At 35.6% G+C, this 16,591-nt stretch overlaps 1 protein-coding gene across 18 annotated transcripts in view; it reads left to right on the top strand.

The window, feature by feature from the left end:
* Positions 1–16,591, top strand: part of SLC41A2 (solute carrier family 41 member 2) — a 156,946-nt gene that overhangs the window by 95,923 nt on the left and 44,432 nt on the right. For all 18 annotated transcript variants that reach the window (NM_001387125.1, NM_001352169.2, XM_047429648.1 and 15 more), the window contains one exon: positions 1,454–1,533. In NM_001387125.1, coding sequence (NP_001374054.1) covers positions 1,454–1,533 — 80 coding nt within the window. The remainder of the gene's footprint in view (positions 1–1,453; positions 1,534–16,591) is intronic.

Here is a 16,591-nt window from a genome sequence, read left to right as displayed (position 1 = left end):
TACATATTTCAAAACATGTTGTATAGGTGTTCTCACCACAAAAGATAAGTATGTGAAGTAATGCATAAGTTAATTAGCTCAATTTAGTCATTCTACAATATATACATATTTCAAAACATGTTGTATAGGATAAATATGTGCAATTTTTATTGTCAATTTAAATAAGTAACAAAATAAGTTAAAAAAAGTCTAGAAGCCTATATAACAGCATACTAACAGTGTAACTCAATGGTGTAACTAGGGTTGGTTTTTACTTTCTTCATTTTGTCTTTTCTAATTTTTTCTATAGTAACTTTTATCACTGGGCTTAACAGGAATCTAAAAAATGTATTTTTAGCAATTGTTATGTTATATCCACAACATGATCTATATATTTTGTCAGGGAGGTTTATTTTTTGACTCAGAACTAGTTTGTTCTTGAAGTATGTACTTTATTCTTTTAATTAGGGCTTAAAATGTTAAAATATTTCTAAAGAGGACTATTTTGGGACTCTACAGTGTACCTCTTTAATGAGAACGCCCACAGTTTAGGCCTATTAAGGCATAATTCCTTTATTTTACTAAAGAATTAAAATAATAAAGATTTGATAATTTTCTAATGTTAACTATCAGGTAAGAACATTTGATCTGATATTTTGACAATCCCATTCTGTGACAGCATGTAGTTCATTTTGTTGTAATGTGGATGGCATTTTCCTGGAAGATTTGGGCACAGGATCCCATGGAATATTAGGACTGGCAATGTTTTATACTACACAGACCCAGAAACTGATGTTAACCAGTTGATAATGGCCTTGGAAACTTAGAAAAATCTCCAAGTTCCACTGACACATTGAGAGTGTATGGCTTGCTACCATATAACGATATGTTAGTTTTCCAGATTTCTGTTCTCAAGATCAGCTCTTTCTGTGGCTATAACTCATTATTTTAATTTGCCAGTAATAAGACACATCCTAACAATATCTAGTTTTAATACAATAAAAATAACCTCTTTTATGCTTTATTTCAAATATGAAACCATACTCTTTTTTAAATTATTTTTTAAATTATAAGAGTGATCAATGGCATGGTTTTAAAAAATTAATAAGCACAGAAGGATATAAAATGACCGTCAGTCCCCTGTCACCCTCACCCCCAGAAATAGACATGGTTAATAATTTCTCGTATACTGTTCAAGACATTTTAATGCATTTAAAGCGTATGCTTTTTCTTTTCACAAGTAGCATATCTTAGACATCAGAATTCTGAAATTTGGGGCTAGAGCTTATGCCGTGTTTTATTTTCAACATTTTACTGTTGACATTGATTTTTACTTTGAATATTTTTATTTTTGCTCTATTTTTAAAATGTGTGAATATTTTATTTTAAAAAGGAGGGGTGTCTGTATGTACAGAATAACTTCAAGTATGTTCTCTTCCCTCTTCTCTAAATTATATAATTTTATCTCTTTCAGCATTGGGGGCCTTATTCTGGACACAACTGTATCAGACCCAAACTTGGTTGGGATTGTTGTTTACACGCCAGTTATTAATGGTAAGAATTAGATATACTGTTTCATGATAATATCAAATCTTCGTATCCTCTTAGTCTTAGGTACTATTAGAAGTCTTAGGGCTCAGATTCAAGAGGTCTGTCCTCCCATCCCAACCATTCTGCCTCCAACCCCAAGTTGTTGCTCACAGTGAAAATTACATTCCCAGGTCTCAACAGGCAGAATACATTTCTGAAAAGTAATCTTTCTTAATCTTATCATGAACTACTAGTTTGAGAGTCAGGTATACCTGACTTAAGATTAATGTGGCAAAATATATTTCAGATTTTGTTTATTATTTACATTGGGATTATCAGCTATTGTATATTGTTTTGTTGTTTCTTTTGTCAATTTTTGTGGATAAATTAGAGACAGCTGGGTTTCAACATTGCTTATCCATTCAGTTCATTAAAATCTGGGGTGGGCACAGTGGCTCATGACTGCAATCCCAGTGCTTTGGGAGGCCTAGGTAGGAGGGTCGCTTGAGGTTAGGGGTTTGAGGCCAGGGCAACATAGTGAGACCCCCATCTCTATAAAAAATTCAAAAATTAGCCAGATGTGGTGGCACACACCTGTAGTCCCAGGTATGTCCTCAGGAGGCTGAGGCAGGAGGATTGCCTGAGCCCAGGAGTTAGAGGCTACAATAAGCCACTGCATGCTAGCCTGGGAAACAGAGTGAGACCCTGTCTTAAAAAAAAATAAAAGAAAAAAATCTATTGGTCCTCAGCTGATCCCTTTAAAAATCTGTCGTATATTTTTTTGTTATCTATGAAATGGGAATTATAATACTTAAATTCACAGACATTTATATATGAATTACATTTAATAAGATCATTTTAATCCAGTCTACCGGCTTCTGGGGTGACTGTCATTAAAGTGGATTTTTTTTTTTTTTTTTAGTTTAAGTTCTGGGATACATGTGCAGAACGTGCAGGTTTGTTACATAGGTATACATTTGCCATGGTGGTTTGCTGCACCTATCAACCCATCATCTAGTTTTTAAGCCCCGCATGCATGAGTTATTTGTCCTAATGCTCTCCCTCCCCTTGCCCCCCACCTGACAGGCCCTGGTGTGTGATGTTCTCCCTGTGTCCATGTGTTCTCATTGTTGAACACTAAAGTAGATTTTAAGTACAGCCTAGATCAATATAATTTAAAAAGTAATTCTACTTGGGGAAAAACATGTCCCAGGATATACTACATATTTAATGTAATTTACTTTGCATATCTATGTAAAAAGAAAATATGTCAGTTGGGCACGGTGGCTCATCCCTGTAATCCCAGTACTTTGCGAGGCCAAGGCAAGTGGATCGTTCAAGCTCATGAGTTTGAGACCAGCCTGGGCAATATGACCAAACCCTGCCTGCACAAAAAATATAAAAATTATATTTTTACAGGCATGGTGGTACACGCCTGTAGTCCCAGCTACTTGGGAGGCTGAAGCAAGAGGACCTTCTGAGCCTGGGAGGGAGGCAGAGGTTGCAGTGAGCCAAGATCACGCTACTGCACTCCAGCCTGGGCAACAGAGCAAGACCTTGTCTCAAAAAAAATGTATATATGTATATATGTAAAAAATATATATGACATATAAAGGCAAGTTCTTCAAAATCTAATTTCATGTCTAAAATTTCTACTGAATATTTTAATTTTTATATCACTTTAGAATATCAATGAACAAATTTTCCCTATAGGTCTCTCTCTTCATGCCACCATTCTCCCCGTCACCCACACATAAAATTGTGGGACCATCTATTTCAACCTGGTCCTTCATCCTCTTTGACTGAAAAATGACCAAGCCATTGTCTGCTTGCCCTTTAACACAGTTCACTTGCTCAATCATTTATTTATATAACAAGCATGTCTTACTCTTGTAGCCTAATGTCTCAATATAGCCATCATTCAAGTAATAAAGTAGGCTTCCTGACTCACTCTCTATTTGAGGCAAATTAAGTGTCACTAATAGCCTAGTCATTCTTAAACATTGTTTTTATTACATGGGTCCTAAGATGATGAATTTAACAGTGGTTTTTTTCCCTGCCTATCAGATCAAATTTGAATTCTTCTGCCTAGCTTTCAAGGCCCTCTGTACATGGTTGGACTCATTGTTTCCCAAAGACATGCGCAATTTTTTCATTATCATTCTAACTAGGTTTTTATATTGTCCCTACAAAGATTCATCTAATTTTCACTGCCTGGAATAACTACTGCTTTCCTCCCTCCTCTTCAGATCCTCTTCTGTGAATATTAATGGATGAGTTCATTAGCATAAACATTACTCATAATGACTGTTAGAGCTATATTAAACAACATTTCAGTAAGAAATTTAACTTAAATTACAATAACCCTTTTATTATAAGGCTTTAATGCATATTTCAGTTGTTTTACCTTAAGTAAGAAACAATTCTAGAGCTTCACTGAAATGCTCTCCTTGGATGTCTGTGCTGTGGCATTGTGTGATATTCATAGTAATATATTTTTAGTATCTCAGTAAGTAAACCTCTTAGTTGGCTATCAGCACTTTGGGAGGCCAAGGCAGGTGGATCGCTTGAGCTCATAAGTTTGAGACCAGCCTGGGCAACACGACCAAACCCTGTCTGCACAAAAATTATAAAAATTAGCCGGGCATGGTGGTACACTATGAGCTTATAAATTCCACTCTTTAAAAAACATTAATAGAGATGGTTTACTCTATGCTCCTCAAATAAGATGGAACTTTTGAGAATTGAATTTCATTTAAAATGTGTTGGGGAATGTACTATTTAAAGGACTCTTGTTTATCTTCATCATTATCATCATTATCTGCTATTTAGTGAGTACCTACCACTATGTACCAGGTAACTTACAGGTTTTTTTTATACATGTTGTGTCGTATAATCCTCACAATAAGATCAGTAGATTGTCTAAGGTCTCTTATCTTGTAAGTGGTGAGTCACGATTGAAAACCAGATCGGGTCTATTCTAAAGCCTGTGATTTTTTTTTTCTCAAAATATGCAGCTACTAATTTATGTTTTATTAGCTACAAGAATGCATACATTGTTTAAGGCATATCTGTGTTCATATTGTGACTAGGATATTTTTTAATATTTATTAATGTCTTTCAGAACTAGTGGCATTTTCCAAAATATATTTCATGGTAACACTAGTTCTGTGAGATGTTAATAAGTATAACTTGAAAAGTGAGTTCTGTGGTCAATCAAATTTGTTAAACATTAAGTTAAACAAACTTGCTTACTACGAGATTTCTTTATTGTTGTTGGTGTTAATTCTTCTTTATTTTTTTATTTTCTTTTTATTATACTTTAAGTTCTAGGGTACATGTGCACAACGTGCAGGTTTGTTACATATGTATACATGCGCCATATTGGTGTGCTGCACCCATTAACTCGTCATTTACATTAGGTATATTTTCTAATGCTATCCCTCCCCCCTCCCCCCACCCCACAACAGGCCTCGGTGTGTGATGTTCCCCTTCCTGTGTCCAAGTGTTCTCATTGTTCAATTCCTATGAGTGAGAACATGCGGTGTTTGGTTTTCTGTCCTTGCGATAGTTTGCTGAGAATGATGGTTTCCAGCTTCATCCATGTCCCTACAAAGGACATGAACTCATCCTTTTTTATGGCTGCATAGTATTCCATGGTGTATATGTGCCACATTTTCTTAATTCAGTCTATCATTGATGGACAAATTTGGGTTGGTTCCAAGTCTTTGCTATTGTGAATAGTGCCTCAATAAACATACATGTGCATGTGTCTTTATAGCAGCATGATTTATAATCCTTTGGGTGTATACCCAGTAATGGGATGGCTGGGTCAAATGGTATTTCTAGTTCTAGATCCTTGAGGAATTGCCACACTGTCTTCCACAATGGTTGAACTAGTTTACAGTCCCACCAGCAGTGTAAACATGTTCCTATTTCTCCACATCCTACTACGGGATTTCTTAAAGCCTTTATCATGCTAACATAAACGTGAGTCTCTCTTTCTGGTACTTCTGTTAGCTAGGTGTTGGGATTTCTAGATCTAACCTTCCTCAGACCCCCTAGACCACACTTTGAGAACCATTGATTTAGAGCTTATATCTTTTTTATCACAGTCTACTTTCAAACAATAGTAAACCACTTTACATATAGGATAAGAAGCTTATGTCACTATACTTGAAATACCACTCCTCTTTCTTATGTACTCTTTTTTGAAATACGTTTTACTTATGTACTCTTTTTTGAAATACGTTTTACTTTTTTGAAATAGTAAATCCTGTAATATATTGTTATTATTTTTTGCTTCAGTTATTTTTAAAAAGAGACTAAAAATGAAAAATATATCTTTTAGATTTTATCATATAAAGTTATATTTCCAGCACTCTTTCCTTTGTGTAGATCCAGGTTTTTATCTGGTATTATTTTCCTTCTGCCTGGAGAAATTCCTTTAATGTTTGTTGTAGGGCAGGCTTACAGAGAAAATAGAGTCTTTAGGCATGTCTCTCCCAGCGTGCTCTTTCCTTTCCCTTCACCTCTGTTCGTATCTCTAACAATGTCTATTTTTAACTTCTTTCACCCCTATCTCAGAAGAGCTGATTCTTTTGCCCAGGACTGACTAGTTGACCTGTGCCCTGGATACTATTCCATTACAATTCCAATGGGAGCCTTACTCCATCAATTATTTTAACTTTTCCGGTATCTCCCATGTCTTCCTCTCTTACATCTTTTCCCTTTAGCTTACAAATGTGCACAAGTTTTTTATCCCAAGTCACCTTTCCCATAGTGCTCTGCCTTCTCAAGCTTCTGTTCTGTCTCTTCTACTCTCTACAATCAAACTTTCCCAAGTGTAGTCTGTATTTTTTCAACTCATTATAGTATTTTTCTTCCTTCTCACTCTACAAAACTGCTTTTACTAAGCTCTCCAGTGACCTCCTAATTACTTTATCCAATAACTTATTTTCAGTCTTCATTCTATTCAGTTGTTTAATACTATTTACTATACCCTTTTTGCAATTCTACCATTCTCATCGCTTCTCTGAAAATTCTTTTTCATTTTCCTTCACTGGTTCCTTCTTTCTACCTGTCTCTTTGTATTCTTCAAGACCCTGCTCTTGAGCTTCTATTCTTAGTTTTCACCTTCTTTATGGGCAATATTGTCTCATCCAGAGATTTTCAAAGTGTGGTCCCCAGACCAGCAATATCACTTGGGATCTTATTAGAAATGCAGATGCTTAAGCCTGAATCAGCAGCTCGGAGGTAGAACTCATCAATTGATTTTGATATATGCAAAAGTTTGAGAACAACTTGTCCTTGTCATACGGCTCATTTCATGGCTTTATCCCTAGTCTTGACACATCTGTTCCTTTCTAGATCCATACTTTAAATTGGATATTTCCACATGGAACATCTGAAGCTTCTAACTGAACTCATCCTCTTCCCCGCAAACCTGCCCTTTGGTGTTTCCTGTGTCAGTTAGCGGTGTTAGCTACCCAGTGTCCCAAACAAGATATCCCCAATCGCATACTTCCTCTCCCTTATCGTCTCTATTTTTATCTGCTCTTGAAATAGCTTCTGAATTCAAGATGCATTGGTTAGAAGGAGGATGAAAGCTATGTTATTGTAGCCAAGAAGGATTCAAGACGGACTGTTTATTCAGTGATCAGGAAGTCATTTGAGAGTTCAGTTTTGTTGAGTAGCAGACTAGATAAATGAAAGTACAGTCTTACAATAGAATGTTATTAACAATAAAAATGGATTAATTACATGTCCCAGAAGAGCAAGGATGAATCTCAGAAACTTATGTGATAAATTATTCCATTTATATAACGTTCAAGGGTACGTAAAACCAAATTATATAGTATTTAGGAATATACATGTATGTAGTAATAACACAGAGAAAAGCACGAGAATAAAAAACACAAACATAGTCACTCTGATAGCGAAGGAAGGATATGGGATTAAGGAAGAGCACAGAGGGCACTACAAATCTAAAGATAATGAATTCCTTTTCTTAAACTGAGTGGTGGGTACATGGGTGTTTTTTTGTAGTGTAAGTCTTTGTAACTTACATGTATTTTATAAATATTATTTTTGCATTTATTAAATAGTATAAAACAATAAACATCTTAGAAGTAGCACTTTTAGACTTCATATTAATTAATTGACAATGAAAAGAAAAGAATTAGAATGACACTTAGAAGTCCAGATGAGGAACTTTTTCCAAGAGAAGAGACATGTGGGTACGTTTGTTGGCAAGGAGGCAAAGGAGTAATAGAGAAGGAAAGATCAAGGATGCATGAGAGATGGTGAATAGTGAGGGAGCAAGGCCCATGAAACGGTGGGCCACACAGTAGCCTTGGAAAGAAAGGATAACCCCTTATCTCACTGTGGTAAGAAAAGGAGTCTTGAAGAAAGACAGGTGAAAATACACAGATACGGGCTAGGGGATAGAGACTAAGATGAAGGGTCTTACAACTGACAGCCTCAGTTGTCCCAGGAAAGTAGAGAGATTCATTTCTCTAGGGCAGTGTTTTCTAATCTTTCTCATGTCATGGCACACATAAAAATTAATAATATTTGGATGGCACCCTAGGGTGAAGAAAACAGCCATTTGTAACCAGAGGTACCTGATTTGGAACTGCAGCCATGCCAAGAGCTTGGAGGATAGTATCTTGACACAGCTGTAACCCATGTGAGGCACACTGGTTGGGAATTTCTGATCTAAGGCGGTGTTTTTTTTTTTTTGTTTTTTTGAGACGGAGTCTGGCTCTTTCGCCCAGGCTGGACTGCAGTGGCGCGATCTCGGCTCACTGCAAGCTCCGCCTCCCAGGTTCACGCCATTCTCCTGCCTCAGCCTCCCGAGTAGCTGGGGCTACAGTCGCCCGCCGCCACGCCCGGCTAATTTTTTGTATTTTTAGTAGAGACGGGGTTTCACCGTGTTAGCCAGGATGGTCTTGATCTCCTGACCTCGTGATCCGCCCACCTCGGCCTCCCAAAGTGCTGGGATTACAGGCGTGAGCCACCACGCCCAGCCGGCGGTGTTTTTCAATCTTTTATTTTCATCATCACCTTTTGAAGGAGCCGTTTGAATCAATTTTTTTTTCTAAATATACCTACCCATGAAATTTTCATTTTGCACATCTACTGTTTATCCATTTATGTGCTGTATGTGTAAATGGGCTTTATAAATAAAATGAGTGATATTTTTTCTCCTCTCAAGAACCAGTTTTCACCTCTGTTAAGAATGTATAATCTAGGCTGAGCACGCTGGCTCACTTCTATAACCCCAGCACTTTGGGAGGCCAAGGAGGTGGGATTGTGTGAGCTCAGGAGTTTGAGACCAGCCAAGGCAACATAGTGAGACCTCAGTTCTACTAAAAAAAAAAAAAAAAAAAAAAAAAAAATCAGCCAGGCATGGTGACATGCACCCGTAAGTCCTATCTACTTGGGAGGCTGAGGTGGGAGGATCACTTGAGTCCAGGAGATCAAGGATGCGGTGAGCCGTGATTGCACCACTGCATTCCAACCTAGGCAACAGAGCAGGACCCTGTCTCTAAATACATACATACATACATACATACATACATACATACATACATACATACATTTATTTAAAAAATAATGCATGATCTATGGTAAAGGAAGTAGAAAATTTAGAGAGTTCGTCAGCCATTTACCACCTTGTCTACAAGTGGGAGGGAAATGGTAAAGGTAATGGATTAGGGACTAGGGAGGTAAATATGCCTACCCTTGTTTAAATAAAAAGCTCTTCACTAAAAGGGTGTTCCAATGCATTTCTTCTTAAAAATATGAAAAAAATGGAAAATATTTCTCCTCCATCTTTTTGCATTTCTTGAAACTCAAAGAGTAATTTCTGCATGTGAGTTCTGGTAAGTCTTGAGAGGAGGATAGGTGAAAATGCAGAGGTACATAGAGATGGAGAAAACAGGTAGGGATATAGGAAGGGGCCAGACTTATTATGCTGTTGATTATAAAGATTTATTTCTTAAGAAAATGAACTTTTGCTTTGGGTTTCCTTCGGAATGTGCAAAGGAATTCTTGACAGAATTTGAAATATATTCCATGACGTTAGTGCTAAACATTTACTGGAAACATATATTTCTAAATTTAACAAAACATAAATTTGGATTTTTAAAACAGTCCCTAGATTAACCTGCTGATAATTTCTTCCCACTCTCAAACTTTATTTCATCAACTGAGCTTATTCAAGCATTAGGCACTTAAAATTCTGTCTTGTGGATACTGAGGAATCTCACATATTATTTAGTATATTGACAAGTTGTTTTTACTAATGTTTTTAATTTGTGTGAGACTATCTTTAGATGCTCTCCACTGGCTTTAATAGTGCAATTAGTCCCTGAAGAATTTAAATAATTTAAAAGAAATGTTGACAGACTAGCTTTTAGTAGAAACATAGTGTATGTCATTATAGCAAGAAAGCATTTTTTGACATTAAAGAAAACTATTCTAAGGTAATAATTTTGTTATAGTTTAAAAATATAACCAATGATCATGATGAAACCATGAGAGGTTAAAACTTTAATTAGCCCCTTCAATAATTATGTTGTTTACTTAAAAATTTTATTCACCTTATCTGGAAAAATGATATCAGTGTCTTTCTGAAGTCCCTCACTCATTTTCTTTTTAGTTTGGTACAATTATAACATCAGTTATGTCTGTGTTTCCTGGACTACAGTGTGATAAGGTGATAAACTGTTTATTTATAAGACTGTTTATATTTATTATCATTATCTTAGTCTGTTATATGGTAACAAAGAAATGATAAAAGTAGTTTTATAAAGTTTTACCAACAAATTTGTGGGTTTTAGAAGAGAGCTACAATTAATCATCAGTAGCTTTTTGTTTCAAACTCAAGAGAAGTTGCAGTTGTAGAGTAGATATACGTTGGCTTAATAGCAGATGCTTTCTGTGTTTGCATTGAAGCATTCCATATCCAATAAAATACCACATAGAACATTACCCCCAAGAGAATCCCCAGAGTAACTGAAGAGGAATGCAATTTATGCATTCCTATGGAAAATATCCATCATTGAAAAACGTATCTGAATGTAATCTTCTGCTTTGCATTAAGTATAATTTTTGATATTAGATTCTTTTCCTTTTGAGTGACTATAAAGAGAAAGATTACAAAGCTGTTTTTGCTAGTTTACCCCTTATTGGCTTACCCAGTAACTTTTTGTGAAAATGCTTGCATTATGTAGTTAAATACTCTTGCCGCTTTCAATTTCTGAGACATTTTCATTTACCTTCACTTAGAGGTATAAGCTACTGGCCTTGTTTATATGCTATTATCAGATGAGTACCGATACATGCTAATTATTCAATGTTCTAATTGTTTGTTTATTTTTTTATTTTTTAATGTCAGTGAGTTTAGCAGTGGATAGTCATATACCAACTTTAGCAACACTAATGTGAATAAGTTCTGATAAACCACTACCATTGGACCAGCCTCTATTCTTTTCTTTAGAAAGTGAGTTCAGATTTAGAGAATCCAGACTTTAAAAAAGATAGTCACCTCTAACTTCTAGTAGAAAATTCATTGAGTAAACAGAAGGCAGTTTAATTGATTGTTTAAAATATGGGTGCTAGCCAAGCTTGGTGGCTCATGCCTGAATCCCAGTGTTTTGGGAGGCCTAGGCAGGAGGATTGCTTGAGCCCAGGAGTTCAAGACCAGCCTGGGCAACACAGTGAGACCCCATCTCTAAAAAAAATTTTTTTTAAAATTAGCTAGGCATTGTGATGCATACCTGTAGTCCCAGCTACGCAAGCGGCTAAGGCAGGAGGATCACTTGAGCTCAGGAGTTCGACGTTGCAGTGAGCCACAATGACGCAACTGCACTCCAGCCTGTGAGACAGAACAAGACCCTGTCTCTAAAAATAAAAATAAATGAATAAATAAATAAATAGAATGGGCACCAAATGATTTATTCTCTTTCATATATATATTTTAAAACAAAATAGTCTGTGAATTGAAAATCTATACAGTTTCTGGACATCCTCTGACCAATGAATTCTCCAGAAAATGTCAGGATCTATAATTAAGAAAATGCCAAGTCAGAATCACATTATTTACATAAATTTATTATTGATAATAACAATAATATTTAACATTTTTTAAGCCTTTACCATGTCCAGAAACTGTGCTAAGCATCTTTCATGTATGCATTATTTTATTTAATTCTCTCAGCATCCTTATGAGATAGGTATTATCCTTATTTTCAGATTAGAAAATGGAAGCTCTAAGAAGTTAAATATCAGTGATGTCATAGCAAGTGACTGAGGTGGTTTTCAGAAAAACCCACATAGTTTGAGCCACAGTCAGAATGTTACAGAGAACACAGCTCTGCATTTATGTGCCTTAATTATTCTATCTAGTCCATGTGACTTTTAAACACATTTTTAAAGAAATTTATTTTCCTTTAGAATTTTTTTCAGAACTCCCTGGGATACATATTTTAAACATTTTTATGATGAACTGCATTTTAAATTATCTTAAGCATTTGCTTTAATGAATTTTGTATTTACTAAATGAGATGTGATGAGGAAATCATGAAGCTACATTTAGTTTAAGATCAAGACATTATAATTTCAGCCTTAAAACAATAATGTTTAAATTGCTTCATTTTTGGTGCATTGGCACAAAAAGTGATCAACCTCTCAGCTTAGAAGGGGGGAAGCTCATGCTTTTCCTGTTTCTGTACTTACATTTTTTCTGCAATTAAAAAATGCTAAATTCTTATTCCACATAACAAATTAACATTATTAGAATGCAGCGAATGCCAAAACTTCACTAGGTATCCGGCAATATATAGGTGATATATAGGTAATATTGACCTAAATATCTTTGAACAGAATTACTCAATCTTTATTTCTGAGTATAATATTTATGTATGCCCAAGATTAAACTGCGTAGATTTGGAGGCTGCTAGGGCTGGGTTTTTTCTTAATAAGAAACTGGATCCTAAACATCACATCCTAAATTATTAAGCAAAGAATTAATAATCTAGCACAAGCCAGATAATCCTATTATAAAAACAAAACAAAAACAATGTAGTTTCATCACTTTTTTTTGGAGGGAAATCTATTTTGCTTCCAGGTAACTTGGATCAACAGTAGACCTGGCCAGAGGATTGCTGCCTTCTGATTCTCTGTGATATCATCAAAGCTTTCAACTTTTAGCACCTGGTTCAGACATCCTGTTGCAATTGTTCTCTAATTCTTCTTCAAAAATCTCCTGCACCAGTGTATTCGGTATGATTTAAATGGAGTCCTTCATAAATTTAAGATGTCAAGTTCTCTTGATTTCATACTTCTTTCAGAGCTCATTCTTCGAACTGTTGTACATATGTAGGCATTTATTTGAGTATTTGTCTAAGAGTGGAATTGCTAGATTGTAGAGTATGCATATCAACAACTTTATTTATTTATTTACTTACTTACTTACTAAAGATAGGGTCTTATTCTGTCACCCAGACTGGAGTGCAGTGGCATGACCACGGCTCACTGCAGCCTCAATCTCTTGGGCTCAAGCCATCCTCCTGCCTCAGTCTTCTGAGTAGCTGCAACTACAGGTGTGCACCAGCACACCCAGCTAATTTTTTTATTTTTAGTAGAGACAAAGTCTCACTATATTGCCCAGGCTGGTTTCAAACGCCTAGGCTCAAGCGATTCTCCTGCCTCAGTTTCCCAAAGGGCTGAGATTACAGGTGTGAGCCACTGCACTTGGCCTCAACAACTTTATTACACAATGCCAAAATGTTTTCAAAAGGGATTATAACAGTTGACACTCTTGCTAGCTTTGTGTAAGAGTTCTCATTGCTGCACGTCGTTATAAATAGTTGATGTTTTTAGGCTAAAAGGTTTGCCAATCTGATGAGTATGAAATGATATTTATTGTGCTTTTATTCACATTTCTGCAATTACTGATTCTCTCTACATGTAGGATTTCTTTATATATTCTGGATAGTAGTCCTTTGACAATTATACGTGTTGAAAAAAATTCTTCCACTCTGTGGCTTGTCTTTCCACTTTCTCCATGATGTCTTTTGATGAACAGAAGGTTTTAATTACACTGTAGTCAGATTTGTCAACATTTTCCTTTATGGTGTGTAATTTATCTATTTTGTTAAAAAATCCTTTTCATCCATTCGTTATCATCTTGCAAAACTTAATATGTTTTTCTTTTGCACGAGGTCTTTAATCATGTGGAATTTATTTTTGTGCATGATATGAGTGGGGATCAAATTGCATAGGTTTTTGGCATATTAATAATTATCTTAGCACTACTTATTAAAAGTCGATAGCACTATTTATTGATTTGCAGTTCCTCCTTTGTCATATGTCAGATTTGGTGTGTGTGTGTGTGTGTGTGTGTGTGGTTATCAAGTTAAAGAAGTCCTACTTGATTCCTGGTTTGCTAAGAGTTTTTAATGATAAATATAAAATTTTATAAATTATTCTGCATTTATTCATCCAATTATATTATTTTTTCCTCCATTCATTTGTTAATGTGCTGAGTTGTTTTACTTTCTTTCCAACTATTAAATCAGTCTTGCATTCCTAGGATAAATCAAATTTGGTTATGATATACATTAAATGTTTTGCTGGATTTGATTTGCTAATTGTTTAGTATTTTTAAAATTTATGATATTCCTATATTATCCTTTTAATGCATGCACTGTAGTGATGACTTCTCTTTCATTCTTGATATTAGAATTTGTGTCTTCTACCTCTTTTTTATCTATTCAAAGAAGCAGCTTTTTGTTTCATTTATTTTTCTCTGCTGTTTTTATTTTCTATTTCATTGATTTCTGTTCTTATTTTATTCCCTCTTTATGCTTTCTTTTGGTTTAATTTTTTTTCTTGGTTCTTAAGATGTGAGCCTTAGATCATTGATATGAAAGCTTTCTTCTTTCCTAATATAAGTAATGCTATGAATTGCTAAGTACTGCTTTATGTGCCTCCCACATATCTCAATATTTTATGTTTTCATTTGTAGTAAATTCAAAATACTTTCCAAATTTCCTTGTGTTTTCTTCTTTGAACTATGGGTTATTTAGAAATGTATTGTTTACTTTCCAGATATTTGGGGGAATCCTCAGATATCTTACTTTTCTGTTATGGAAAGAGAGCATACTTTGCATGTTCCAATCATTTCTAATTTATTGAGACTTGTCTTATGGCCTGTAATATGGTCTATCTTCATTAATGTTCCATGAGTGCATGTGTGAAATGTATTCTGCTGTTGTTGGCTAGTATGTTCTAAAAATGTAATTTAGATTAAACTGGCTGATAGTATTATTAAAGCCTTCTATATCACTGTTGATTTTTAAAATATAGTAAGTCCTCCCTTAACATCATTAATAGGTTCTTAAAACTGTGACTTTAGGTGAAACAATACATAACAAAACCAACTTTTTTCTCATCAATGTTATAATACAACGACATTGAATGATGCTATTCTAGGACCTGCTGTATGTCATTTCGCTTACAGTCTGTTTCCAAGAATCTATCAATGACATTAAGTGAGGACTTACTATATGTGTACTCAATGAATGAGATACAGTGTTTTCTGTGTATAAAAACAGACTTGTCTATTTTTCCTCTTGGATTTATCAGTTTTTGCTTCTTGATGTATTTTGAGGACTTGACTTTTTTTTTTTTTTTTTTTGAGACAGAGTCTCACTCTGTCGTCAGGCTGGAGTGCAGTGGTGTGATCTCAGCTCACTGCAACCTCCAACTCCAGGGTTCAAGTGATTCGCCTGCCTCAGCCTCCGGGGTAGCTGGGATTACAGGCACGCGCCACCACACCAAGCTAGTTTTTGTATTTTTTTTAGTAGAGACGGGGTTTCAGCATGTTGGCCAGCATGGTCTTGATTTCCTAACCTCGTGATCCACCCACCTCGGCCCCCCAAAGTGCTGGGATTACAGGCGGGAGCCACTGCTCCTGGCCGTCTTGACCTTCTTAAACTTTATTCGATGTTCGTCTTTATCCTTGGTAATATTCCCTGTTAGAATGCCATTTTTTTCCCCCTTGATATTGATATAGTCACTCTTACGTTCTTTTCCTTAGTGTTTGCATGATATATCTTTTCCCATATTTTTACTTTTAATTTATGTCTCTGTCTTTTAATATATTTGTATATCTTTTCCACTAGATCCTTTAACTTATTAATTATAATTATTTTAAATTCCTTGTTGGATGGTTTCAACACCCGATTCATCTCTGGGTCTGGCTCTGATGACTTCTTAACTCCTTCAATGGTTTATATTCTTTATTGCTTTTTCCTGTCTTTTAATTTTTTAATTGAATGATGGACATTATACATACAAGACCATTGGAGACTGAGATAAATATTATTTATGCCTAGAAATGGGAGTTCTTTTCTTCTGCTAGATCATTAGGATGGAGGATTGAGTCAATCTAGTCAGCAGTTGAACTGGGTTTGTTTTTTATGGTTATTATCATTACCCTCAGCTCACCACTAACCTCAACTTTCTTTATGGGCATGCTCCGGCTACCCTGTGCTAAGTGTGAAGCGTGGAGGGCTGTATGCCTGCAGCCTGGAAGGCTTAACTATCTGTGCTCTTGCTCTTCCCCCAACAGTCAGTTGCTGATGTTTCTTAGTGAAAGGCATGGGATGGAGTTTGAGATTCTCTTGCTCTGTCCCCAATCTTAGGCAGTCCTACACTCATCAGTTAAGAATTTGAATTTTTCAGTTTTCTTCTTACTCACTTTTATGGCTTAACTTCTTTCTCCTGCACTCTGCAAAAGGAGAAACAATTTAAGTATCATATCTTACCTTGGAGGGGCTTACCACTCTTTGGAATTCATTTCACATCCTGGCATCAACTCTTCTGCCTCAGAGTATGTGAGAGGGTAATGAGTATTTTTTCCAGTGGCTCTGTACCAATTTCTTTAGTAAGCTGAGAAGAAAAGTTTCTAGCTTTATCTATTTGAGTAAGTCCAGCTTATCTTCCCTGTCATTAAGGTGATAAACATGAAGGATCTTGGTACCTAATTTTATTTCTTGGTTTTGAT

Source organism: Homo sapiens, chromosome 12 (assembly GCF_000001405.40).
Source record: "Homo sapiens chromosome 12, GRCh38.p14 Primary Assembly".
In the NCBI taxonomy this organism is placed as follows: Eukaryota; Metazoa; Chordata; class Mammalia; order Primates; family Hominidae; genus Homo; species Homo sapiens.
This window is presented reverse-complemented; position numbering and strand designations above follow the sequence as displayed.